Source organism: Homo sapiens, chromosome 16 (genome assembly GCF_000001405.40).
Source record: "Homo sapiens chromosome 16, GRCh38.p14 Primary Assembly".
Lineage (NCBI taxonomy): Eukaryota > Metazoa > Chordata > Mammalia > Primates > Hominidae > Homo > Homo sapiens.
The window spans coordinates 57,009,343-57,036,706 of NC_000016.10; the positions used below are offsets into that span (position 1 = coordinate 57,009,343).

General features: G+C 48.8%; 1 protein-coding gene and 1 pseudogene across 45 annotated transcripts in view, besides 6 other annotated features; one reads left to right on the top strand and one right to left on the bottom strand.

Annotated features, from left to right (window-relative positions):
- Positions 1-27,364, top strand: part of NLRC5 (NLR family CARD domain containing 5) — a 93,964-nt gene that overhangs the window by 19,786 nt on the left and 46,814 nt on the right. For 25 of the 45 annotated variants that reach the window (NR_169517.1, NR_169519.1, NM_001384950.1 and 22 more), the window contains exons 2-14: positions 7,732-7,846; positions 11,359-11,665; positions 12,914-12,973; positions 14,443-14,511; positions 16,026-17,676; positions 18,730-18,813; positions 18,960-19,043; positions 20,431-20,514; positions 20,653-20,742; positions 22,062-22,121; positions 24,262-24,327; positions 24,826-24,909; positions 26,758-26,841. Coding sequence is in view for 35 of the 45 variants with exons in the window: in NM_001384950.1 (NP_001371879.1) it covers positions 11,371-11,665; positions 12,914-12,973; positions 14,443-14,511; positions 16,026-17,676; positions 18,730-18,813; positions 18,960-19,043; positions 20,431-20,514; positions 20,653-20,742; positions 22,062-22,121; positions 24,262-24,327; positions 24,826-24,909; positions 26,758-26,841 (2,711 nt within the window). In the remaining 10 variants the exon portion in view is untranslated. Of the gene's footprint in view, positions 1-7,731; positions 7,847-11,358; positions 11,666-12,913; positions 12,974-14,442; positions 14,512-16,025; positions 17,677-18,729; positions 18,862-18,959; positions 19,044-20,430; positions 20,515-20,652; positions 20,743-22,061; positions 22,122-24,261; positions 24,328-24,825; positions 24,910-26,757; positions 26,842-27,364 lie in introns of those variants that run through there. The other 20 variants (XR_001752000.2, XM_047434762.1, XM_047434763.1 and 17 more) reach the window with 8 other exon arrangements.
- Positions 2,429-2,478: an enhancer, noted in NCBI's record as "active region_10871". NCBI's record gives its function as "activates an Ori minimal core promoter by ATAC-STARR-seq in GM12878 lymphoblastoid cells {active_cell/tissue: GM12878}" and the evidence as "EXISTENCE:reporter gene assay evidence [ECO:0000049][PMID:35858748]".
- Positions 3,712-4,771, bottom strand: CFAP69P1 (CFAP69 pseudogene 1; annotated as a pseudogene).
- Positions 5,267-5,316: an enhancer, noted in NCBI's record as "active region_10872". NCBI's record gives its function as "activates an Ori minimal core promoter by ATAC-STARR-seq in GM12878 lymphoblastoid cells {active_cell/tissue: GM12878}" and the evidence as "EXISTENCE:reporter gene assay evidence [ECO:0000049][PMID:35858748]".
- Positions 5,357-5,516: an enhancer, noted in NCBI's record as "active region_10873". NCBI's record gives its function as "activates an Ori minimal core promoter by ATAC-STARR-seq in GM12878 lymphoblastoid cells {active_cell/tissue: GM12878}" and the evidence as "EXISTENCE:reporter gene assay evidence [ECO:0000049][PMID:35858748]".
- Positions 5,647-5,696: an enhancer, noted in NCBI's record as "active region_10874". NCBI's record gives its function as "activates an Ori minimal core promoter by ATAC-STARR-seq in GM12878 lymphoblastoid cells {active_cell/tissue: GM12878}" and the evidence as "EXISTENCE:reporter gene assay evidence [ECO:0000049][PMID:35858748]".
- Positions 17,109-17,627: an enhancer, noted in NCBI's record as "H3K4me1 hESC enhancer chr16:57060363-57060881 (GRCh37/hg19 assembly coordinates)". NCBI's record gives its function as "activates a minimal SCP1, AML or CMV promoter by ChIP-STARR-seq in naive H9 embryonic stem cells {active_cell/tissue: H9 hESC(naive)}" and the evidence as "EXISTENCE:reporter gene assay evidence [ECO:0000049][PMID:30033119]".
- Positions 24,108-24,277: an enhancer, noted in NCBI's record as "experimental_43539 CRE fragment used in MPRA reporter constructs". NCBI's record gives its function as "activates a minimal promoter by MPRAs in K562 erythroleukemia cells, with activity observed for the non-introgressed 16:57067447 variant allele {active_cell/tissue: K562}" and the evidence as "EXISTENCE:reporter gene assay evidence [ECO:0000049][PMID:34662402]".

A 27,364-nucleotide genomic window follows, 5' to 3' on the forward strand; every position in this document is an offset into this window, starting at 1 on the left:
CAGCACTTTGGGAGGCCGAGGTGGGCGGATCACAAGGTTAGGAGATCGAGACCATCCTGGCTGACATGGTGAAACCCCGTCTCTACTAAAAATACAAAAAATGAGCTGGGCATGGTGGCGTGTGCCTGTGGTCCCAGCTACTCGGGAGGCTGAGGAAAGAGAATGGCGTGAACCTGGGAGGTGGAGGTTGCAGTGAGCTGAGATCACGCCACTGCACTCCAGCCTGGGCGACAGAGTGAGACTCCATTTCAAAAAAAAAAATACAAGAACATATTATATACAACTGTGAGCTACACCATGTTTGAACATCTTGACAAAATGAGCAACTTTCTCAAAACTAAATTGCCAAATGTTCATTTTTAAAAAGCCAAAAATAACCAACCAACACAATGAGGATAAATTTAAAGTGATCAAGTTTGATTTTTTTAAAAAACTGTTCAAACATCTTGGTAGTGCTGGGCAGGAAGTTGGCTTTCATTCTGGGTGAGATGAGAAGGCTCTAAGGGGCATAGGACCTGATGTCATGGGACCTGATGCAGGCTCTGTCTTAATAGCTGACTCCTGCGTGGAGTAGGTTATTGGGGGATGGGTGGACAGAGACCAGGGAGGAGGCTGGTGCAGGAATCCCAGTGAGAAATGATGGTGTCCAGGCTAGGCCATAGCAGTAGAGGAAGCAAGATTCTGGAATGCACTTGGAAAATGAAGCCATCTTTGGGCTTGAGCTCAAGGAAGCATGAAGCTGCCCCTAACTGAAGTGGGGAAGGTGGTCTGGGGAGCAGTTTAGGAGGAGAGATCAGGAGCTCAGTTTCGGACTTGGAAATTTTGAAACGCACATGAGGCATCCAGGTGGAGTTGGGAGAATTAAATAATGCTGAAAGGTACTCACTTGGCAAGTAGCAAATATTCGCTATATTGTCTGTTCAACTTTGTCAACTGCTTTTCCAGTAGAAATGTAGTGTCCTTATCACACATGCATAAATGTTAAACTCAAAAGTAAAATGAAATATTTTCTCAGTAGATATGAATAACTTTTTAATTTTTTTGTTTTTTGACATGCGGTCTCACTCTGTTGCCCAGGCTGGAGTGGGGTGGCGAGATCATAGCTCACTGCAGCCTCAAACTCCTGGGCTCAAGCAATCCTCTGCCACAGCCTCCCGATTAGCTGGGACTACAGGCACACACCACCACGCCCAGCTAATCTTTTATTTTTTGTAGAGACTGAGTTGCACAATGTAGCCCAAGCTGGTCTCCAACTCCTGAGCTCAAGCTATCCTCCCACCTCGGCCTCCCAAAGTGTTGGGATTACAGGCGTGAGCCACTGCACCTGGCTGCTTTTTAATTGTAATATTCATCCTCCATCCATCATACTTAGTGCAAATATTTTTCCCCACCTATTGCCTTCCTATTTCTCTTTTATTTCACGTCATTTAGGGAAGTTTCATTTTTTTGTGAGCTATCACTGATAATTTCTTATTTACTCATCATCTTGTATTTCTCTTCCTTACACATTGGGGAAATGTCTATTCTAGTTTTTAATGTAAATGTTCTTGTGGCTTTTTTTAAAAAAAAATCAAAATGTGCACATTAAAAAGTTTGAATGGTTCAAAGGGTCCTAAAAAGGGTCCACAGTGGGAAAGGCTCTCCTGTCCCAGCAGGCCCAGACCCCTCCTCAGACACAAGCCTGTCATCAGTTTCCTGTGTAGCTTCCCAGAGTTGGTCTCTATGTATGCAAATACACACACATTTAAAATATACACATGCCACAGCTTTTTAAAATTTGAATTTATGGGCCATGTGCAGTGGCTCACGCCTGTAACCCCAACACTTTGGGAGGCCGAGGCAGGTGGATCACCTGAGGTCAGGAGTTCGAGACCAACCTGACCAATATGGTGAAACCCCGTCTCTACTAAAAATACAAAAATTAGCTGGGCATGGTGGTGGGTGCCTATAATCCCAGCTTCTCAGGAGGTTGAGACAGGAGAATCGCTTGGACCCAGGAGGCAGAGGTTGCAGTGAGCTGAGATCGTGCCACTACACTCAAGTCTAGGCGACAGAGGGAGACTCCGTCTCAAAAAAAAAAAAAAAAATTGAATTTAGACTCAGGTGCAGAGGCTCACGCCTGTAATCCCAGCACTTACGGAGGCTGATGAGGGGAGAATCACTTGAGTCCAGTAGTTCAAGACCAGCCTGGGCAACACAGGGAAACTATGTCTCTACAAAAAAATTAAAATTAGCCTGGCATGGTGGAGTGTGCCTGTTGTCTCACCTACTCAGGAGGGTGAGGCAGGGGAATCACTTGAACTCAGGAGTAGGAGGCTGCATGAGCTATGATTGCACCACTGCACTCCAGCCTGGGTGACAGAGCAAGACCCTGTGTCAAAAAAAAAAAAAAAGAAAAGAAAATTAGACTACCATCATAGATGGTACAAACACTTCCCAGTTTGTTGCTTTCGTTTTGTTTGTTGCCATTTTTACTATACAGAAAAAAAAGGCAATAAAGAATACATTATTATAATATGTTAATTTCTACTGCATTATTTTTAACAACTTCATTGAGGTGTAATTTACATACCGTAAAATCTATCCATTTTAGGTGTAGGATTCAGTGATTTCTGGTAAATTTACTGAGTTATGTGACCATCACCACAATCTGGTTTTGGGACATTTTCATTACTGCCATAATATTCCTCAAACCCATTTAGAATCATTCCTATTTCTGCTCCCAGGCCCAGGCAACCAGTAATCTACTTGCTGTTTCAATAGATTTGCCTTTTCTGGATGTTTTACATAAATAGAATCATACAATACGTGATCTTTAGTGATCTTTTTTCACATGGCATAAACTTGGTTCCTTTTTATGTTGAATAATATTCCATTGTATAGATATGTCACAGTTTGTTTCTCCATTCATGAGCTTTTGGGTATTTGGGTTGATTTCACTTTTTGACTGTTATGGATAATGCTGGTACAAACATTCATATACAAGTTTTTGTGTAGATGTATATTTTCATTTCTCTTGGAATAGACCTAGGCGTGGAATTGCTGGATTAGATGGTAATTCTATTGTTTTACATTCTAAGGCAGGGGTCCCCAACCCCCAGGCTACAGATCAGTGTCGGTTCATGGCCTGTTAGGAACTGGGCCGCACAGCAGGTGGTGAGCGGCCATCGGGCGAGTATTACTGCCTGAGCTCTGCCTCCTGTCGGATCAGCGGTGCCATTAGATTCTCATAGGAGCACAAACCCAGTTGTGAAATGCGCATGTGAGGGATCTAGGTTGCGAGTTTCTGATGAGAATCTAATGATAAATGTAATGAGCTTGAATCATCCCGAATCCATCCCCCAACCCCAACCCCCGTCCGGGGAAAAAATGATCTCTCATGAAATCAGTCCCTAGGCCAAAAAGTCTGGGGACTGCTGTTCTAAGGAACTGCCAAAACTGCCAAACTGTTTTTCAGAGTGGCTGGACCATTTTACATTCCCACCGGCAATATATACGGTGTCCTGTTTCTTTACATCCTCATCAACATGTGTCTTTTTCATTACAGCCATTCTATGTGGGTGTGAAATGCTATGTGGCTGTGTTTTTCATTTCCATGCAGAAATTTTTAATTTAATTGCTTAGTTAAAAATAATTCTTTAAATTTAAAACACTCATATTGCCATATGTATATTTTTATACTACAAAGTGATACAATTTTTGTTAATTTTCTTGCCTTGATTACTCTTTACCTGTATAGTATTTAAATCTTTACATAAGATCACAATTATAGTGAATAGTAATTTATTCAACTCAAAATCTTCATAGGATTTAGAAAATTTAAGTCCTTTACCAAAGGGATTGACTTCTAACTTCATTAAAGGTTGCGAACAGTATCAAATCCTTGGTAAAGCCACATTCAATCTTTGGCACTCCAGGATTTTGAGCTATAACTGTAGTGATCACTAATATGTCATTTCTAAGCTGACGGTCATAATGACTAAAACCTCTCATAGATTTTAAAATACTTCCTTCAAAGTCAGTAAACATTCCAAGTTACTAAGCTGTTGAACAATTTCTTATTTTGAAGATTTTTTCTGATAAGTTCCAAAGTGTTTCTGATGAAGGAAATAAAAGCTGTCCAGAGAAATCTGAGTCATTGAGGTGAGCACAGATTCCATTGGCTGCTTGTGCTTTCATCATTACAGTACAATTAACTTCAGAAGTCGAGAGATGCTGCAGAATTTTAAGTACCCAAAGTTTCTCAACAAGTTGATTTTCAAGCAAGGTCATTAACTGGGCCATTGTTTTTGCCAATCCTCCAACTTCAGCCATTTGAATCTTGTATGATGAACTCACTTGCTGGTAACCTGGAATATGCTCCTTTGGTGGTTGTGCCTGATAAAAGTCAACAATACGTTTACAATTTTTTATCCTCAATTCAGAACTTGGTATTTTCATTAAGTCACCCAGAAGCGCAACTGAACTAGCAGTATCTCCAGCATAAGTTATTTCATCCGATACTTTCTTTTTCAAAAATGGCAAGCCACACTATTTTATGATATCATATGCAGATTCTACAAAATGCGGCTGGTTTTCAATTTTTACTGCACACAGATTCAGAATTTCAAATGTCTGTACTAAATCCCTTAAGGGAAGTTCATTCTGATAACACTGTACCAGTTTCTTGACAGATTTAAGTTGCTTTTCTTCTAAGCCTTCTTTAGCAGTCTCTTCAAAAAGTTTGATGACACCATTAAGGTCCACAGGCTTCAAAACACCAGTTCCACATGGCGAGGGAGGCCTTGGGAAACATCATCATGATGGAAGGCAAAGGGGAAGTAAAGACCTTCTTCATGGTGGCAGGAAAGAGACAGCATATTGCTATGTATTTTAACACCACTTATTTCCCCCCTTTTTTCTTTCAATATCATGGATTAAATAGTGTATTTTAAATGAGTGTGAGGCTCACTTGGACTCTATTCCATCCCTTTGGCCAATTTTTTTCCATTTTTAATCCAAGAATCTTAAAGTTTGAATGATGGTCACCTTGTTATATATTTTATTATGTTTGGAAGCTTTTTTGCTATTGTCTGATCCTCCCAACAAATAGCCTTTTGATAGAATTGCCTTTATTCGTTTCTTTATATCTAATTCTAACTTAAGATTAGACTTAAAAGTAACTTCAGCGGTTTTATTATGAAATATTTAAGGCATATAAATACTGCCTCTTTTCTCTAAATGACTGCTAATATAATTTTACCAAGTTCTGTTAAAGTATCCTGTTGTACATAAAGTGCTGTTGTTTTTTATCTGCCTGTTAACTTAGAGTGGGTTTTATTTTCTTTCACTTTCTGTGGTCGAAGGCAAGTATGTCTTAGTCAGTTTGGGCTGTTATAATGAAACACTGTAGACTGGGTGGCTTAAACAACAGAAACTTGTTTCTCACGTTCTGAAAGCCGGGAAGTCCCCAATCAGGGAGCCAGCAGGCCTGGTGTCTGGAGAGGATGCGCTTCCTGGTTTGCAGACGGCACCTTCTCATTGTGTCCTCACAGGGCAGAGAGCAAAAAGAAAGGGCAAGCGCTCTCCAGCCTCTTCCTTTTTCCTTTTTTTTTTTGTTTGTTTGAGATGGAGTCTTGCTCTGTTGCCCAGACTGGAGTGCGGTGGCATGATCTTGGCTCAATGCAACCTCTGCCTCCTGGCTTCAAGTGATTCTCCTGCCTCAGCCTCCTGAGTAGCTGGGACTACAGGTGCCTGCCACCATGCCTGACTAATTTTTATGTTTTTATTAGAGATGGGGTTTCATCATGTTGGCCAGACTGGTTTTAGACTCCTGACCTCAAGTGATCTACCTACCTTGGCCTCCCAAAGTGCTGGGATTACAGGCGTGAACCACCGCACCCGGCCTCCAGCCTCTTCTTGTGAGGGCAGTAATCCCATCATAAGGGGTCCACCCTCTTGACCTAATCACTTCGCAAAGGTCCCACTTCCAAATACCATCACACTGGGTATTTAGGCTTCACCAGGTGAATTGGTGGGGGAGGTGGGACACAAACATTCAGTCCACGGCAAGTTTTTATCTCAATTTGCTAAAGCCTCTCTTTATTTCTCCTGTTACAGTGTGATAATGTTTTTTAAAATATCATTTAGCTGGCTGTGGTGACCCATGCCTGCAGTCCCAGCTACTCAGGAGGCTAAGGCAAAAGGATCACATGAACCTAGGAGTTTGAATCCAGCCTGGGCAACATAGAAAGACCCTGTCTCTTAAAAAAATAAATAAATAAATAAATAAATAAATAAATAAATAAATAAATAAAGGAAAGAGGCTGGGCACAGTGGCTCATGCCTATAATCCCAGCACTTTGGGAGGCCGAGGCGGGCAGATCACCTGAAGTCGGGAGTTCAAGACCAGCCTGACCAACATGGAGAAACCCCTTCTCTACTAAAAATACAAAATTAGCCGGGTGTAGTGGCACATGCCTGTAATCCCACTACTTGGGAGGCTGAGGCAAGAGAATTGCTTGAACCAGAAGGTGGAGGTTGTGGTGAGCCGAGATCATGCCATTGCACTCCAGCCTGGGCAACAAGAATGAAACTCCATCTCAAAAAAAAAAAAAAAAAAAAAAAGAAAGAAAAGAAAAGAAGCACTTAAAGAGGCTGAGGCAGGCAGATCACTTGAAGTCAGGAGTTCAAGACCAGCCTGGCCAACATGGTGAAACCTAGTCTCTACTAAAAATACTAGAATTAGCCAGACGTGGTGGCACATGCCTGTAATCCCAGCTACTCGGGAGGCTGAGGCATGAGACTTGCTTGAACCTAGGAGGTGGAGGTTGCAGTGAGCTGAGAACATGCCATTGCACTCCAGCCTGGGCAACAGAGCAAGACTCCATCTCAAGAAAAAAGAAAGAGAGAGAAAGAGAAATATAGACATATGTTATTAGTCCCCCAGGACCTCTTCAAAAGATCTCTCTTTTCCTTTCTTATTTCTAATTACCATACTACATACCACCTCCATTATGTCAGAATGTGCCCTATTTACGTGGATTTGTCTAAAGTCATGGAACTCTGAGTTACATTCCCCGTATTTCACAGAGACACAATCAGAGCACACGCTGATCTTCCGCCTCTCTTCATTTCCTCCATGTACTCTGTAGCTACCTGTTCTCTTCTTTGTTCGTAGGAAGATCTCTGTTGCGTGGTGTGGGAGTTTGTGCCAGCTCATCTTTTTATTGTGCTTTCTGTGAGCAGCTATCAATGCCTCCAGGTCTTCTCTTTAAGAAGAATGTTTACTCTCAATTGTTTAAAAAACTAACTAAATAGGAAGAAGATTGCAAATCCTAACCTTTTTGGGGTTTTATATTGGGGGCAAAAGTTGGCATCTGCAGTAAGGATTATTTCATTTTCATCTGAATAAATGAGCAGTAATAACTTTGCTGACTTGCAGGGCTCATTGTGATGCCAAAGGACATTGTAAGGTGCATATCTGAATTGGAGGAGGAAGAGGGGCATCCTCTGAGCCAGGTGTGGCAGGAGGTGACATCAAGGAGGGTTAGGCTGCGTAAACCCAGGGACACAAGGAGCTGCAGTCGGGGAAGAACAAGGTCTAGCGGATGGAGTTGGGGGGACTGTGTCTGGAGCCAATGTTCTCAGATGTGTCTCCGGCAGGCAGGGGCAAGGGCTGGTGCCTGGTTTACAGCATTCCTTTTGGAGTCTGGAATAGTGGGGAAAACTCCCTGTCTTCTCTCCCCTTAGGAGTCTGCACTATGGAAACAACCTGTCAATCCAGCTCAAGGCACACATAGCCCAGACACCCATGAGACCCTCTCCGTGGGGACCCTAGAGCACCTATCATGAACGAGGAGACCAAGTAGGTGATTTTTCTCTCCCCTTCACCTCCTCTTTTCCCCTCCTATCTACTTCGTCACTTTTCTCCTACTGCCAAGACTGGTCCCTACCCAAATCTGCCTTACTGGGCTGCCCCCAACACAACAAACCTGCCCTTGACCATCATTCAGCATGAGAATGTAATGATCAGACACAGAAAATCAGGAAGAGTTTTGAGACAGCATCTAATCTACCCATTTTAGAGATGGTATGACTGAGGCTTATATAGGAAAAAGGCTTGCTCAAGGTCACACTATGAGTGTATCAGCTAGGATAGGCCAGGTTACACTGTAGTACATGCACCCTCCAAAGTCCCAGTGACTCATGGCAACAAAAGTTTATTTCCTGCTCTTGCTTCCTGTCTCGTGTGGATTGACTGGGATTGCTCCTCCACATCATCCTGTCTCCCACACTCAGGCTAACAGGGTAGCCATGATTTGCAATATTTCTGGTCCCTGGAGTAGAAAAAAAGAAAAAGTACTGTCAATTACACCTTGGTTCTTAAAACAACTACAGGCATGACATGAGTCTTTTTTAGCATGTTTCATTGACCAAAGCAAGTTTCATGGCTGTGCCCAATTTCAAGGAGGCAGAGAAGTGTAATCCCACCAAAGGCCTAGAAAGAGGAGAAAGAGTATCTGTGAACAGCCCTAATGCCTACCACAGAGAATTAGTAACAGAGCTGGGCCATGGATCTTTCAACCATCGTCCTCTGTCTCCAAGATTATTCCCCATGGAAATCTCAATGACTGATAATGATGCCATGTGCTTTTTCTCCTGAGGATGGTTAGCCTTAAAGAGATTTGTGTCATATCCTAAGGGGATAGAACACTAATGATGGAAACAAAGGTATTGTGTTAGACTGGCTGGAGGAGAAATTTGAGGATGAGAAACATCACCAGAAATCACACCATCCAGGCACTACTTACTTCCATCTGGTGCCATGCTGCCCTGGACCATTTCTTCATGGGTAGCATGGATGCTGGACACCATAGCCTGGAAAAGAAGTTATGCCCTAGGCTATGGCCACATCCTTTTGCCGAGATCACACAAAATCCAGGGACTTAGCCTTGTCTGGTGCCATCTAGGCCTCCAAGGCCTTGGAAATTTACTGGCCTGGGAGGCAAGAAACCTCAGTTCTCCTCCTGCCTCTGTCATGGACTTGCTGTGTGACTGTGGGCACACCCTTTGCCCTTCCTTGGCCATGGTCTTTCCGTCTGCTTAGTGGAGGTGGTGATCCCTGCCTGAGGATCATGGTGTGAGCATGTTTCATAAATTCTAAGACTCTCTGCCTGAGTGAGGACCTATTGCTATTAGCCCAGTTGAGGAGAAATGACCAGTGGGGCTGACAGTACATCCAAGTATGTCTCTACTGCATGCCCAGGGAGCAGCTGGGCTCTAAACCCCAGGACGCATAGTACTGGCCTCAGCCTCTGGGAATTGGGAAGGCTGGCTTCTGGGTGGACCTCCTACTCTTTTCAGAGTTAGAGGTGGACTCTCTGGAGTTGTGAGGATAAAATAAGGTATATAAAGCACTTAGACAGTGCCTAATACACAGTGAGTGCTTTCCAAGTGTGTACTGCTATGAGGAAGGACATAGTACCAGAAAGTACATCCGGAAATGTGATAGCATAGTCCACTAGATGATGGACCACCATTTAGTTGGCCAATCCCCAACTGTTGGACATTTAGGTTGTTTCCAATTTTTAATAATTATAAATAATCTTGCAGTGAGCATCTTTGCAATTAAATATTGTATATACGTTCATGATCGTTTGCCAAGGTTAGAGTCCTAGAAATGGAATTACTGAATCAAAGGAACTGCACATTATTTAGGCTTTTGCTGTGTAAATGCCCCGTGCCCTCTATTGGTACTTCTAGAAGGAGGTGGTTTAAGAGTTCCAGTTCGGCCATCATGATGGCTCACACCTGTAATCCCAGCACTTTGGGAGGCCGAGGTGGGCAGATCACCCTGAGGTCAGGAGTTTGAGCCCAGCCTGGCCAACATGGTGAAACCCCATCTGTACTAAAAATTACAAAAATTAGCTGGGCATTGTGGTGTGCACCTGTAATCCCAGCTACTCGGGAGGCTGAGGCAGAAGAATCGCTTGAACCCGGGAGGCGGAGGCTGCAGTGAGCCGAGATTGCACCATTGCACTCCAGCCTGGGTGACAGAGCGAGACTCTGTCTCAAAAAAAAAAGAGTTCCAGTTCAGAAGGGAAGAATTTGCTTAGCAAAAGAGGTGATGGTCTGTGTTAGCTAGGATTAGAGTTCACTGTGAGTAGCAGAAAGCACTAAACAACAGTGGCTTAACCAGAATGGAAGTGTATTTCCCTGCCATGTAACAGAAGTCCAAAGTCAGTGAGCACAGGGCAGATGGGCAGCTTTACCTTCCACCTTCCTCAGTATGGGTTCCACCTCATGATTCAATATGGCTGCCCAAGATCCAGCCATCCCATCAACAATCCAGACAACAGGAAGGAGCAAAGAAGAATAGACAACATTTCTACTTACATTCCACTGGCCAAATTACATGGCTACATATAACTGCAAGGGAGACTGGGATATAATAATCTATTCTAGATGACCAGAGAATATTTAGTAGTTCTAATACTGAGGAAGAAGGGAAGAACAGATTTTGGGAGACAACTAGTTGTCTCTGCCATGAGGTTAGCTCAGACTGAGAGCAGCATAAATGGTTCATGGAAATAAGAATGAGTAATGCATCCTCACGGGACTGTCCACAGGGGATGAACAAGACCATTCCAGAGAGCCAGGGTGCAGGCACAAATGGAGTAGGGAGGGGGTGCAGAAGAAACAGACTGATCTCTGGAGCTGATCCCTGGGCAGAGACATCAAGACTCCATGGAGAGGCCACTTCCCTGCCTATTTTATGTCGCTCAAATGTAGGGACTGGTTCTTGACTGCTTGACTTCCCTAGAAACTCCCTTATCCCCCAACTCACCTTCCCCAGATCACCTTCCCCCTAGTTCATCTGTACCCCACTCACCTGCCCTCAGGTCACCTGCCCCACAACTCACCTGTTCTCCATCTAATCTTCCTCCCAGCTCCCCTGTCCCCCAAATCACCTGCCCCCAATTTGCTTGTCCTCCAGCTCACCGGTTCCCCAGCTCATCTTCCTTCCAGTTCCCCTGTCCCCCAGCTCACCTGCCTGCCCTCAGTTCACCTGTCCCCCAGTTCATCTTCCTCCTAGCTCCCCTGTCCCCTAGCTCACCTGTGCCCCAGCTCCCCTGTCCCCCAGTTCCCCTGTCCCCCAGCTCACCTCCCCCTCAGCTCTCCTGTCCCCCAGCTCATCTGCCCCCAGTTTACCTGTCCCCTAGCTCACCTCCCCCCCAGTTTACCTGTCCCCCAGCTCACCTCCCCCCAGTTTGCCTGTCCCCCAGCTCAACTCCCCCCAAGTTCCCCTGTCCCTCAGCTCATCTGCCCCCAGTTTACCTGTCCCCCTCAACTCACCTATCTTCCCTGTCCCTCCAGGGCTGGCTCCTCATGGACCCCGTTGGCCTCCAGCTCGGCAACAAGAACCTGTGGAGCTGTCTTGTGAGGCTGCTCACCAAAGACCCAGAATGGCTGAACGCCAAGATGAAGTTCTTCCTCCCCAACACGGACCTGGATTCCAGGAACGAGACCTTGGACCCTGAACAGAGAGTCATCCTGCAACTCAACAAGCTGCATGTCCAGGGTTCGGACACCTGGCAGTCTTTCATTCATTGTGTGTGCATGCAGCTGGAGGTGCCTCTGGACCTGGAGGTGCTGCTGCTGAGTACTTTTGGCTATGATGATGGTAAGGGCAGGTGTGAGAGACGCAAAGCAGCCGGGCCAGTACCTGCGTCATGGGGAGCCGGGAGGAGCCCAGGGACCCACCTAAGTCAGAGAGAGGGTGTAGCCCAGCCACGATCTCAACTCTATATTTCTGGACACTTCCCAGAACAAATTTCCTAATGCGCCCAAATCTGCTGGGGCCTGGAGGACCCCTCCTTCTACCTGGCTTCACTCGAATTGCTCGAATTGCTGAGTGACTGCTTCCAGCCACAAAATCCCACATAGCCCATAATGCCCGAGAGATTTATTTCTTCTTTTTTGGCGGGGGTGGGGGGGTGTTTTTTGTTTGTTGTTGCTCTTGTTGGGTTTTGTTTGTTTGTTTTTTATTTTTGAGACAAGGTCTTGCTCTGTTGCCTAGGCTGGAGTGCAGTGGCACAATCATAGCTCACTACAGCATCCAACTCCAGGACTCAGGTGATCCTTCCCACTTCAGCCTCCCAAGTAGCTGAGACTACAGTAGAACTATAGGTGCATGCCACCACATTAGGCTAATTTTTCATTCTTTTGTAGAGACAGGACATCACTGTGTTGCCCAGGCTGGTCTTGAACTCCTGGCCTTAAGTGATCCTCCTCCCTTGGCCTCCCAAAGTGCTGGGATTATAGATGTGAGCCATCACACCTGGCTAGAGGTGTTTTTGTTTGTTTGTTTGTTTTGCAACATGGTCAGAAACAGTGACGGGGAGCGCCTTCTGCCCTCTACTGATCCGTGGGGATTTCTTGGGCACCTTCTGTTTGCACAGCACTGAGGGGAAACACAGGACATTGAGGGGCAACAGCGTTTTTGGAGAGAAAATGGGAACTCACTTAAGAACCCTACTTCAAGGCAGAGTGTGGGAATTGCGGGGGGCGGGGCGGCGCATGCACATATGTGCAGACATATGCAGATACACACAGTGCATATACATGTGGGTATGTGCGTAAACCCATGTACACATGCATGCAAGTGTGCCCACATGCATAACACATGCATGCCTGTGCACACACATACATAAACTTGCATGCACTTGCATATACACACATTTCTGCCCAGCACTGCCTTCAAAGCTCACCACCACATTTTCTCCACAACAGATAACTGAGTGTTCCATTTAGTTCTCCCTTGCTGGGTATCTCCCTGTGAGATGAGCCCTGAGCCAGGCGCCAGGCCAGAGCTGGTCCCCAGCATCCCTCGACAGCCCCATACCACATTATACTCTCCCCTCTCTTGCAGGGTTCACCAGCCAGCTGGGAGCTGAGGGGAAAAGCCAACCTGAATCTCAGCTCCACCATGGTGAGGACTGGAGTTGGGGGGTGGGAAGGGGGTGGTGAGCACTGTGAAGTCCCCACTTCCAAGCTGGAGGAGGCTGTGGAGGCTGTGGTGGCTGGTCACAGCCATTTCTCATAGGCCATGCTCTTCGTCTGTCCCTGACCCATTTGCAAGTGTGTCAAGCCCCTAACTGTGTCTCCCAGCCCCACCTCCTCCTGCAGTGACTTTCAAGGCTTTAGCTTGTCCCGTTACCAATTCTAAAGGGTCTAACCTGGAACCCCTCAGGAAGCCTGTTCTCACTTTCCTGCCCGCAACCCGCAGGGCCTCATCTCCCAGCCCCAAAGTGTCAGGCTTCATGGGGAAGCCCTAACCACCCCCTCCCGACTTGTACACCTTGGACTTGACACTCACCCACAGCTGCTGTCTTCAGCGGGGGAGCCTTTGGCTGATTTTCTGAAGGAGCTCGGAAGGGCCAGTGATTAAATAATGACCACCTACTGATTCGTGGGTCACACTTTCATCTCAGCACCTTGATTTCTACAGAAGCATTGACTTTACTTATCGCTGTGCATGGCAGTAATGCCAACAGAAAACCCACCCTATAACCTCAGCTCCCCAGTGAATCAAAACTGTCCAAGTCCCTGGTCCAATAGGCCCGCATCACTGAGCTGGCATCATTATCTCATGGCTGTAACCAGATCTGATTGATATTTGGCCAGTGAGTCCCTTTTTAATATAGGATTTGTTAAGATATTGAAGTGCTCTCGAACTGGTTCCAGCCTCCTAGCTGGACAAGGAGCCCAGGGCCCTGCTCCAGGGGCTGTTCCTATTGGTCACTTAGCTTAGCTGTAGGAGGACCCTGCTTGACTTCTTAAAATTCTTTCCTGAGTCCTCTTTCCTTTCTCCCTCCCTTCCTTTCTGGGTCCCCTTCCTTCTTGTTTTCCTTCTTCCTTTCTCAAACTCTTCCAGAAAGGCATTAAAGTGATTGTTGAAAATCCATACAATGAGACAAGACTCCAGAAACTATTAAGGGAAGTGAGGAAATGTGGGTGATAAGAAATCGGGATGATAAAACCCTAACAGAGGAGGGAGGTTGCAGGCCTGGCCAAACTCACTGGGAACTTCACTTATATGACCACCGGCGGCTTCCATAGAGCTTGGTCCTTCCCTGATGGACAGATGGCCATTTAGTGCTTGGAGCTGAGTGTTTCTGGGGGCTGCTGGCTGTTGGCCCTGCTTCCTGCATCCTGGACTGCAAGACTGCCAGGCCCAGAACATCCACCTTCCAATGGGGGTGCCTAGAAGTCCACTCTGCAAATAGAAGCTGGTGTTGACCCAGCCTCTGCCTGCTGCCTGCCTTTCCAGTCCCTGCATGTGGGTGTACTTGGCTGCCTGCCACCTGTCTGTGGACTGGAGTTCCCCAAAGGTTCTGGGTAACCCCTCAGCCCAGATCCCCAGACCCCACTCCTCCACCCCTTCCTTTGCTTTTTCAGGCCTGAAGCGCCCACATCAGAGCTGTGGGTCCTCACCCCGCCGGAAGCAGTGCAAGAAGCAGCAGCTAGGTGGGTACCAGTGTGGGGAGGAACATAAACAGAGAGATGGGGTTGCCTGGGGGCCAAGACCCGGACCCTGGACCTTGTCCCCTGCCAATAAGCCTCCAGAGGCCCAGTGACTCTTGTCTCGCAAGTTTCCAGGAGAAAAGGACTGGAGGTCTTGCACAGGCAGAGGAGAGGCCTGGGCTGGCAGCGAAGGGGCTCCCCACCCATCTGGCTGCATGGGGACTTCTCTGAAGAGGGCTCCGCTGAAGGAGCTGGAAGCACCATACAGGTCTCAGCTTCGCTGTCCAGGCTTTTCCAGGGACACCCTATGTCCTCAGTGTTGAAGGAGACCCAGGGAGGAGACCAGTTTGGGGGTGAGCAGGGATGGGGAGGGGTGAGGAGGCCTGGGAGAAACCTTCAAGACAGAGGCCCTGGGGGCCCATGGGGAGACATGGAGCTGCTTAGGGCAGGCCAGGCCAGTGAGAGAAGAAAGGGGACTTCTCTCATTCTTGACCAGTTCTCAGAATGGTCCTCGTTCTCCACGAGTTGTCCCACTAACTAGAGCCTTCTCTGCCCCCACTGCTGCCAACCATGGCTATAACCAGAGGATTCACATCCGCTCAAAATAGTTCACTACCTTGGCCTTTCCCCATAGGGTTCCCCCAAAAGCAGCCCCAGCCCTTTCCCTGGGTCACCTGAGACCTCTCAATGACCCAGGAATTAAAAGGTTAACATCTGGCACTGTAGGGGCCCAGCTCCCACAGTTCCGATCGGTAATGCCTAGGCCTACAGGTTGTTAGTGCTCACCCCTGGGCATTGCAGAACTGAAATATTGGGAAGAGGCACTGGGGATCCAGATATTACAGAAAGAGGTTGTTTCAATAAGATATTGCAAAGTAGCTGGGCGCGGTGGCTCACACCTGTAATCCCAGCACTTTGGAGGGCTGAGGCAGGTGGATCAGTTGAGCCCAGGAATTCAATACTAGCCTGGCCAACGTGACAAAACCTTGTCTCTACTAAAAATACAAAAATTAGCTGGGTGTGGTGGTGTGCACCTGTAGTCCCAGCTACTCAGGAGGCTGAGGCAGGAGGATCACTTGAGACCAGGAGTTTGCGGCTACAGTAAGCTAGGATCGTGCCACTGCACTGGAGCCTGGGCAAGACTGAGACTCTGTCTCTGGGAAAAAAGAAAAAAAAGAGATGTTGCAAAGGAGGTGCCCTATTCCCCTCCCCCCATCTTACTGAACCCTTACACCACGTGTACTATTGCAGAATGGATAGAACCGTGACCCACACTTCCCCATTCCCACCTGCCTGTTTAAATAGCTACCGGAGAGCCTATGCTCCCTTAGAACTGATTCCTTCTGGAAGTTGGGGTGGCACAGATCCCCCTATGGTGCTCTTGACACCCCCACCCTCACCCCATCATACATACACATCTGGGGCTACAGGCTCCCAACAGCCCAATACTGGGGCAAGAAGACATGAGCAGAGGGCCGGGGGGTCCTCTCCTCATGCCATGTCCCTGCCCCTTGCAGAGTTGGCCAAGAAGTACCTGCAGCTCCTGCGGACCTCTGCCCAGCAGCGCTACAGGAGCCAAATCCCTGGGTCAGGGCAGCCCCACGCCTTCCACCAGGTCTATGTCCCTCCAATCCTGCGCCGGGCCACAGCATCCTTAGACACTCCGGAGGGGGCCATTATGGGGGACGTCAAGGTGGAAGATGGTGCTGACGTGAGCATCTCGGACCTCTTCAACACCAGGGTTAACAAGGGCCCGAGGGTGACCGTGCTTTTGGGGAAGGCTGGCATGGGCAAGACCACGCTGGCCCACCGGCTCTGCCAGAAGTGGGCAGAGGGCCATCTGAACTGTTTCCAGGCCCTGTTCCTTTTTGAATTCCGCCAGCTCAACTTGATCACGAGGTTCCTGACACCGTCCGAGCTCCTTTTTGATCTGTACCTGAGCCCTGAATCGGACCACGACACTGTCTTCCAGTACCTGGAGAAGAACGCTGACCAAGTCCTGCTGATCTTTGATGGGCTAGATGAGGCCCTCCAGCCTATGGGTCCTGATGGCCCAGGCCCAGTCCTCACCCTTTTCTCCCATCTCTGCAATGGGACCCTCCTGCCTGGCTGCCGGGTGATGGCTACCTCCCGTCCAGGGAAGCTGCCTGCCTGCCTGCCTGCAGAGGCAGCCATGGTCCACATGTTGGGCTTTGATGGGCCACGGGTGGAAGAATATGTGAATCACTTCTTCAGCGCCCAGCCATCGCGGGAGGGGGCCCTGGTGGAGTTACAGACAAATGGACGTCTCCGAAGCCTGTGTGCGGTGCCCGCACTGTGCCAAGTCGCCTGTCTCTGCCTCCACCATCTGCTTCCTGACCACGCCCCAGGCCAGTCTGTGGCCCTCCTGCCCAACATGACTCAGCTCTATATGCAGATGGTGCTCGCCCTCAGCCCCCCTGGGCACTTGCCCACCTCGTCCCTACTGGACCTGGGGGAGGTGGCCCTGAGGGGCCTGGAGACAGGGAAGGTTATCTTCTATGCAAAAGATATTGCTCCACCCTTGATAGCTTTTGGGGCCACTCACAGCCTGCTGACTTCCTTCTGCGTCTGCACAGGCCCTGGGCACCAGCAGACAGGCTATGCTTTCACCCACCTCAGCCTGCAGGAGTTTCTTGCTGCCCTGCACCTGATGGCCAGCCCCAAGGTGAACAAAGACACACTTACCCAGTATGTTACCCTCCATTCCCGCTGGGTACAGCGGACCAAAGCTAGACTGGGCCTCTCAGACCACCTCCCCACCTTCCTGGCGGGCCTGGCATCCTGCACCTGCCGCCCCTTCCTTAGCCACCTGGCGCAGGGCAATGAGGACTGTGTGGGTGCCAAGCAGGCTGCTGTAGTGCAGGTGTTGAAGAAGTTGGCCACCCGCAAGCTCACAGGGCCAAAGGTTGTAGAGCTGTGTCACTGTGTGGATGAGACACAGGAGCCTGAGCTGGCCAGTCTCACCGCACAAAGCCTCCCCTATCAACTGCCCTTCCACAATTTCCCACTGACCTGCACCGACCTGGCCACCCTGACCAACATCCTAGAGCACAGGGAGGCCCCCATCCACCTGGATTTTGATGGCTGTCCCCTGGAGCCCCACTGCCCTGAGGCTCTGGTAGGCTGTGGGCAGATAGAGAATCTCAGGTGAGTAAGAGTGGAGGAGGACCGGGGAGGGGATTGGGCTTTTGGGGGAGCAGAGGCCAACCAGTCTAGCAAACCTCTGCCAAGAGGACTGGATAAGAATCTTGAATATCAGAACATAATGGCCTGCAATGCAAGAGAGGAAGCTCCATACCTTGACAGGACCTCTGGAGTCCAAATGGATCCTCCTCTTGTCTGTGGTTTCTGGACTCTCAGTCTCTCTGTCAATCATGGGCTGAAACCACAGATCCAGGCTGTCTATAGAGGCTGGTGGACTTTGGGCAAGTATATGGAGCACACACATGCACACTGTCTAGGCCAGAGTTTCTTCGTTCCTAAAACGAATCTGTAACAATAGCCAACTCATATGGTCATTGCAAGAATGAGATGGGATGGTGCATGAAAAACATTTTGTAGCACAGTGCCTAGCACAGAGCAAAGGCTCAGTGTGCATATTAGCTAGAGAAAAGGCTAGGCTGCAGTAACAGAGAAACCTCCTCCCCAAATACAGTAGGTTAAATAATGTAGAATTTTATTTCTCTCTCATGGAAGAGTCAGAGGTAGGTGGTCCAGGTCAGTGGAATGGCTCAGCTCCACGCAGTCATGCAGGTACCCAGGTCCCTCCCATTTTGCTCCATTATCCCCTTGGGAATCCTATCTGCACAGTCAAAGCTACGTCATGGGTATATCTGTGCTCTGGCTTGGGAACAAGGAAAGAGCATGGAGGAACATGTCAATGCATTAAAGTTCAGTCCTGAAACTAGGATACATCCCTTCCACTCACATTCCATTGGTGAGAACATAGTCACCTGGCCACACTGAGCTGCAAGGGAGGCTGGGAAATGTGATCTCTGGCTGGGAAACCATGTTCCTCATGATAGCTCTATTGCTGTAGATGAAGTGGAGAATGGGCTTTGGTGGACGATTAGAAGTCTCGGCCATAATATGTATTTGTTAGTACTACTGTATTAAGCCCCATCTCTCTGAGGGGATGGCGATGACTTCTCAGCTCTGCCCAGCACTGATCCTCTGACACTTCGCTTCTTCTTATGGCAGCTTTAAGAGCAGGAAGTGTGGGGATGCCTTTGCAGAAGCCCTCTCCAGGAGCTTGCCGACAATGGGGAGGCTGCAGATGCTGGGGTGAGCCAGGCCTTGGAGCTGAGAAGGGTCTTCAGCTGGGGATGCCTGGTACTCTCCTCCCTCTCCTTAATCCTACACAAGGCAGATTCCTGGCCCCGCCCTTTTCCCCTCCTCGTTCCTCCCCACCATCTTTGCTTACTCTGTAGGTTAGCAGGAAGTAAAATCACTGCCCGAGGCATCAGCCACCTGGTGAAAGCTTTGCCTCTCTGTCCACAGCTGAAAGAAGTCAGGTGAGTGATCTCCAGGAGGGCTCACTGACTGGGGAGATGAGCCACTGCCCAGGTCCCAGAGTCCCCCTGGGGCCTGCATGTTCCTCCAAGTCTGACCAGTAGTTTTTCAGTGAGACCCAGAGAGGGAAGGCATCAGTCCAAGTACTCAGTAGGGCTGAGTCCAAACCCAAGGCTCCCAGAGTCCCCAGAGCAAGGCTTCCTTCATCTAATATTTTAGACTGTCTTGGAGGAGCATGAGTGTTAAGGCTCCCTCCCTCTTTCTGAAATCCCAGGAGAAGGGATAGCAGTGCGTAGGCAGGAATCAGGCACTGTGGGTACACATAACTACATGAAGCACCACACACCTTCACATTTGTTCACACATGTCTACACTTGCACAGAAGTACACAGGCATATGCAAGAATATGCACCCACACATGCCCACTCATAGGTGTGCACATGTATGCAGCGCACACATGCACCTTTAACTACATGTACACATTTTGATGCCAGCACACTCTAACTAACTAAGCTTGTATGCACAAATATACTCCTGCCCTGTGTCTGGGACTCAGTACCATGGGGAGGAGTGGGACCAGTGACCCTCCTCCCTGGCAGAACGCTGCTAGTTTATATGGCACCTTTATGACATTTAGAGAAGGCACCACTTCATCCACACAGATGCAGCCTGTCACTAAGGTTCAGCACTTGTTGAGTGAAAATAATAAGTTGGACCACAGTCCCTATTGTCGTCTCGGCTGGGCATCTGTGAACCGTGATTAAGCCAAGGTTCAGAAGTACTGAACTTGTTGACATTTTTCTTCCCTGGCTATTGAAAGTGACTTTAATTTTGTCTTTCATCACCCACCATTGTTCTTAATCACCCTCACTCCCCTCAACTCATCTGTCTCCCCAGCTAGGAACCCAGGCAAGGCTGGCTTGTGAACAGGTGGGGAAAGTGAGGTCAGAGAGGAATGCGCTTGGCTCAGGGCTCTGGGTGAGTCAGGGCCACAGCCGAGGCTGGAAGCGATGTCTGCAGCGTCCCAGTCTAGACTTTACTCATTGCCTGGGGGGCCTATCCCAGGCACATCCCAGGCATAAGCCCTGGGAGCAGGGTGCTAGGTCTCCTCATTGTGCCTCATGAAGAGGCCGTCAGTCTGTCTTCTAGATCCCTTGAGCCGCCAGGCAAAAACTTCCCCATAGGAACAGAATAGACCCAGAATTGAGGCCAGCAGAGGGTCTTTCCTCCTAGCCGTGCCTGCTGGAATCCGGCGAGCAGGCCATCAGCTCTTTCTGGGCCCCTGTCTTATGTCTCCCACATGAGGGTGGCCATCCTGTCACTTGCTAACTGGGGCTTGCAAGTGCCCCAACCCCAGGGCAAAGGGACTGGGCCTTGGTCTCCTCGCAGTTTTCGGGACAACCAGCTCAGTGACCAGGTGGTGCTGAACATTGTGGAGGTTCTCCCTCACCTACCACGGCTCCGGAAGCTTGAGTAAGTGATCTTTCCACTGCCTCTGCAGCCCAGTCCCTCTCTATACCTGATTCACCCCACTCCCTTGCAAGGCAAGGAAGGTCTGGGGCCCCTGGGGTAGGGGATTCCACTCCTGACACCTTTGCCACAATCTTGCAGCCTGAGCAGCAACAGCATCTGCGTGTCAACCCTACTCTGCTTGGCAAGGGTGGCAGTCACGTGTCCTACCGTCAGGATGCTTCAGGCCAGGTGAGCAGAAGGAAAGGGATCTTGGCCTTATGGGCCTTGAGAAAAGAGGAGGGGAAAGTGGGATGGGAAATGGAGGAGGCCCCTCGTCTGCAGGATAAATCTGTGCATACCCTACTGTTTTACTCACAGCTTTACCTTCAGAACCTAGCTCAGGCTTGGCACCTGGTACTTGGTATATATTGAATTAATGGATGGATGAAAAGATGGATGTATGGATGGATGGCTGAAAAGATGGATGGGTGGATGAAAAGATGGATGGATGAATGGATGGCTGAAAAGATGGATGGGTGGATGAAAAGATGGATGGATGGATGGATGGATGGATGGCTGAAAAGATGGATGGGTGGATGAAAAGATGGATGGATGGATGGATGGATGGATGAAAAGATGGATGGGTGGATGAAAAGATGGATGGATGGATGGATGGATGGAAAGATTGATGGGTGGATGAAAAGATGAATGGATGGATGGATAGATGAATGGATGGATGGATAGATGGCTAGCTGAAAAGATGGATAGGTGTGTGAAAAGATGGATGGATGGATGGATGGATGGATGGATGGATGGATGGATGGATGGATGAAGGAATGAGTCAACAAGTCTACGAAGCACAGGCATAGCCAAAGGAATAATTAGCTGTGTGTTGCCCTCCATGGTGCTGAACCAATATAGCCAGTTTTGATCATGGGGTAGGTTAGGTGTCATTTTTCTTACTCATAAAAATTTCTATTAAAAAAAATTCAGCCGGGCTCAGTGGCTCATGCCTGTAATTCCAACACTTTGGAAGGCCAAGGCAAGAGGATTACTTGAGCTCAGGAGTTCGAGACCAACCTGGGCAACATAGTCTCTACAAAAAATGAACAAAATTAATGGGGCATGGTGGTGCATGCCTGTGGTTCCAGCTATTTGGGAGGCTGAGGTGGGAAGATTGCTTGAGCCGTGGAGGTTGAGGCTGCAGTGAGGTGTGAACACACCACTGCACTCCAGCCTGAGTAGCAGAGTGAGATCTCCATCTCAAATTTAAAAAGAAAGGAAAAAAAAAAACTCACAACATTCTTAATTTTTATTATATTTCTTGTGAAAATTGTTTTTCTGACTTTTTAAAACACTCTTGCAGGATTCATCAAGCAAAGACATAATCAGTATTTCACATGCCTGATTTAAAACACTTTTGCTAGTTCCGTTATGTTTCCCTGTCAATTGCAAAATCAGCTTTATCTGGATGTTTGAACATTTGGGGCAGAAAAGGGTGTGCCTGTGGTGGGTGATGTGCTGGTTTCCAGTCTCTGGGTTTCATGGCTTGGTATCTGATCCTGCAGGGAGGCGGACCTCATCTTCCTTCTTTCCCCGCCCACAGAGACAACTGCAGAGCTACAAAGGTAAGAAGCCAAGAGGCGGTGGGCCTGGGGCCATCCTTAGAAGCAACTTGGGCTCAGGCAGTTGAGGGGAAAGGTGACCAAGAGACTAGGAAGAGCTGGGGTATGGGAATTCTTCCTGCTACTGCTGCACTGAGGAATGAATTACTGCTTAGGTTGGCAAAGGATTTTAACTTCCTCTAGCGTGTCCAGACCACATCTGGTCCCTGTGGAAGGAAGCATCCCCAGAAGACTCAGAGGAAGGCAAACCCTTGGGGAGAACATAAAGATACTGTTAGACTGGCATTACTAGATGGTGAAAACTCTGGAAAAGCCCTTACAACTGAAAAAAGACAGGGAGGGCAATTATGGTACCTACATCTTAGGGTTGTTCTGAGAATTAAATGAGTTACTACACTTAAGGAGTTTAGAGCACTGTTGGCATGCAGTGGGCAGTCAAATGCTGGCTATTCCAGCTGTGCATGGATTCCAGCTTGGCCAGTCTTGGATGGGCTGAGAAAAGGGAGCTGCTTTTCCCTAAAAGACCATCCCAACTGTGCTCTACCACACTTTGCTCTCCTGGCTAAGACTCAGAGACAGATGTATGTATGCCCCTGAGCAATCTCTTTCCCTTCTCTGGATCTCGATTCCTTGCTTGTATAATGACCTGGTAGTGTAGGACCAATGTTGCTGGGTGCGGTGGCTCATGCCTGTAATCCTAGCACTTTGGAACGCCAAGCACGAGAATCTCTTGATTCCAGGTGTTCAAGACCAGCCTGGGCAACATAGCAAGACCCCATCTCTAAAAAAAAAAGGCAGGCGTGGTGGTGCACACCTGTAGTCCCAGCTACTCAAGATGCTGACGTTGGGAGGATCGCTTGAGCCTGGGAGCTTGAGCCATGATCACACCACTGTACTCCAGCCTGGGTGACAGAGAGGGACTCTGTCTCAAAAAATGACCCACTAGGACCAGTGTCACTTTCTTTTCCCTCTAACTGCTTAAAGCTGTGATGCTCAGTAGGATAGCCACTAGCCCCATATGGCTATTTCAATTTAAATAAATTAAAATTTTAATGCTATTTCAATTTAAATAAATTAAAATTTTAATGCTATTTTAATTTAAATAAATTAAAATTAAGTAAAATGAAATTTTCAGTTCATTAGTCACATTAGCTATATTTCAACTGCTCAGTGGCCATAGGTGGCTAGTGGCTCCCATAGCAAGTGGTACAGATGCCAGGACATTTCCATCATTGCAGAAAGTTCTATTAAACAGGCTGGCATGGTGGCTCATGTCTGTAACCCCAGCACTTTGAGAGGCTGAGGGGGCAGGATCGCTTGAAGCTAGGAGTTCAAGACCAGCCTGGGCAACAAAGTGAGACCCCCATCTCTACAAAAAAAAAAAAAAAATAGCTGGGCATGGTGATTCACTCCTATAGTACCAGTTACTCAGGAAGCCAAGGTGGGAGGATCACTTGAGCCCAGGAGTTTGAGGCTGCAGTGAACTGGGATAGAGCCACTGCACTCCAGCTTGGGGACTGAGTGGGACCCTGTCTCTAAAAAAAAAAAAATGGTTAGCACCAATCCAAAAAGTCTGTGAAACCTGGCTCATGATGTCCTAGCTTCCCTGCATCCCCTAACGCTCCCTCAGCCCAGTGGGAGAGAGTCTGTGGTTTACCATAGCCTGGACTCACTGCATACAGCTCATGCTCCTCGCCTTCTGAACCACAGACAGCACATCCACAAATGGAGACCATCACATCATCGACAATAGCAGCTTCTGTTTACTAACCTTCGATTTTACACCTATGCTGGGTACTTGGACATACATTGTCTCATTCAATCCTTCAGGTACCTATGTGCTAGATGTTGTCATCCGTTTTAGAAAAGAGAAAAGGGAGCCGACTGCAGTGATTTGCCCAAGGCCACATGGCTATACATGGCAGAGCCAAAATTTGAATAAAGGTTCCATTTGACCTCAAACCTGTTGCCCCTCCTGCTCTGCTGAATCACATCTTGAGCATCTGCAAGCAGTCTCCTTTGTTACCGACTCACTTTGGGTTGTGCTTCAGGGTCTTCAGCCTCTAGAAGCCAAGGAAAGAGGCTTGATCCACCAGGCCCTAGATGCCTGAGCCCAGGCCAATGCTTGATTTGTTCTTGCCAGAGCTCCAGACCTGCAGGAAAGTGACGGCCAGAGGAAAGGGGCTCAGAGCAGAAGCTTGACGCTCAGGTACCTTGGAGGGATCTATTGCCTTAGGAGAGGGATATGATATGGGGGAAAGTCCGAGGCAAGGGAGAGCAGGGGCAGGGAGGATAAAGGGAAAAGCAGATGAGGGACAGGGAAAGGATTAGCCGGGTGTGGTGCCCATCCTGGATAGCCCATCCTGGCTTGAATAAGGAGCATCTGTCATAATAACAATAGCTGCAACTTAATGGAACCGGCTATCTATATGCCGGGCATTGCACTAGATGTTTTACATCCATTACCTCACTGTAATTCCTTTAGAATCTCTGTGAAGTACACATTATTATTCCCCTTTGAGGGAGGAGGAAACTGAGTCTCAGACAGGTTAAGTCCCTTGCTCAAGATCACCCAGCTACTAAGAGGTGTGGCTAGGATTAGACCCAGGTCTGTGGGCCCCCTGACTCCCCCAGCATTGGAAGCTGGAGGGGCCATGGAGTAGGGGCTGTTTGCCCTGAGCCCTTCTGTCCCCCACTCCTACCCAAGGCTGCAGAAGTGTCAGCTCCAGGTCCACGATGCGGAGGCCCTCATAGCCCTGCTCCAGGAAGGCCCTCACCTGGAGGAAGTGGAGTGAGTATCACGGGAAGCCCTGGCGTAGGAGCCAGGAAAGGAGGTTGGAGAGGGTGGGCAGGGCCTCGCCTTTGGGTGGGTGGTGTGGGGGAGGGGCATGCTGCCTCATGAAGAATTTGGGGGAATCAGATCATTGTAACAGCTGCTACTATTCAGCACTTGTCCCGGGTCAGGTGCTGTGCTAGGGACTGTACATGCCTCCTCGCATTCACTCCTCACATCTCTGTGATGTAAGCACTGTTACTGTCCTCATTTTATAGAGGAGGAAGTTAAGCTGCAGAAAGATAAACTTGCTCAAGGCCACACAGGTAGGAAGAGTCTAGGCTAGGGTTCAAGCCCAGACAGTCTGGCTCGCAGCCTCATCCTCATAACCACTGCTACCTCTCTTGCTGAGATCTGCCAAGTAGAAACCCCACCACACCTGGGTCTGCCTTCCAAACCACAGTCCCTCAGGGCTCCCCCCACCCCCTTCATCCTTCTCCCAGAGTAGAGTGGGATAACCTTCTCTTTTCGGGATGGAGAAATTCCCATGGCGTCCAGCCCCTGGCTGAAGCCAATAAGAGTAGTGCTTGGGGATGGACGGAGGCTCTGTCACGACCCTAGGAGGGGCGCCCCTCCAGGAAACCTCCAAGTGAACATGAAGGCAGATGATGGAACGCCAGGATGTGTTCTGGGTCGAGTGGCCCCACCTCAGGGTAAGACGGATAGGGGTGAGGGTTGTCGTGGTGATCACCTCTTGATCCTGGACCTCGTCCCATTGGGAGAACCAGGACAGAATTAGAAGGTGGTTTTTTAACAAGCTCACACACTTCTACCTGCCTCACCAGCACTGAGCATGCCCCTCCCCGAGTGCCATCACCTGCAGAAGCAGCCCCATCACCCGCCTGGTTACGCAGCCACCTCCTAGCCCCCTTGCCCTTCTCCCACATTTAGTCCCTCCAGATGGACCTACTGGTAGCGCTCAAAACTATCCTCTTTTCCTCCACCTTTCTAGTCCAACCCACCCTCATCTCTTACCTGGATGACCCCCTCGCCTTGCCTTCCTTGCTGGCTTCCCTGCTTTCACCCTGGCCACTTCCACCTGGCAGAGAGTAGATCACTTTTCACTGATGCCTGCCCCCTTCACTCCTTCCCACTGCTCAGGATAAAACCCACATTCTAAACTCCCAGGTGGTCCAGAACCCTGCCCCCAGCCTCCTAAACCCCATCTGACCCCATCCTTCCACTCAATCTCCAATCCAGACACACTGGCTCTCTTTCAGGTCCTCATATGTGTTATGCCACAGGGCCTTTGAATGTACTGCTTCTACCACCAGGAACACCCTTCCTCCATCTCTCCCCCAACCTTTTACCTACTGAACTCCCAGTTATTTCAGCAAGTAGCTTAAGCAACAAATAAGCCATCCCCGACTCCCAGACTAGGTCAGATGCCCCCATAATCATGAAGTTTATCACAAAAAGCAATTATGTAACTTGCAGCATAAAGGAAGAGTTGAGGGTGGGGCCTTGAAGGCAGGCTGCCTGGGTTCAAATCCAGGTTCTCCCTCGAGCAAGTGCCTTAACTTTACTCTGCACTTAACCACTCTGCACTTGAGTTTACTCATCAGTAAGGTGAGGATAATTACAGTGCCCACGTCATCGGCACTATGAGGATGAAATAGGCCAATAGTCATAGAAGAACCTAGGATGTTGCCAGGCATGTGGTATGGAGTCTGTCGATTTCAGTTATTATCAAGGTTCATTCCTGAGAGTGACACTTTGACTAAAGTTAGCAAAGGAGGAGTAAGTGATGGGGATTGAGGGAGGACTCCAGCCCCACAATACAGTGCATTGGGCCCCCCGTCTCAGCCTCTCAGGGAACCAGCTGGAAGATGAAGGCTGTCGGCTGATGGCAGAGGCTGCATCCCAGCTGCACATCGCCAGGAAGCTGGAGTGAGTTGTCCACCCCACCGCTGGGTACCAGGGAAGGCCCTGTAGAGCCCCAGGAGGTCCCCGTGTTCGTAATCAGCAGTAAGGGTGCTGATCCACTGCCACCCCTGCTTCCTCCCAACTCCAGCAAAGTCAAGATGGTTTGACCATGCCTTGCCTTCACCTCCGGCATGAGCCACTGTCTTAGTCCAATCATCTAGCACCCTTACATGTGTAAAATGCGTTCATTATACATCAGTGGCTTGCATTCCAATTCATCTTTGTAGCTGCCCTGGAGCACGGTGGGGTGGGGTGTTGCACTGGGGAGGTGTCAGGGTGGGTGGGATGTTGCACTGTGGAGGTGTCATGCTGGGGTGCTAGGGTAGGGAGTGGTGTGTTCCTGTGGGGATACACTGTTGGGGTGAGGGGTGGTGAGATGGAAAGGTAGGCTATTAGGCTGCTGGGTGTGCTGTGGTGTTGCATGGGGTGAGGGTGATGTTTGGGTGGGGGTGTCTTGGGGGTCTTAGGATCAAGTGTGGGTCGGGTT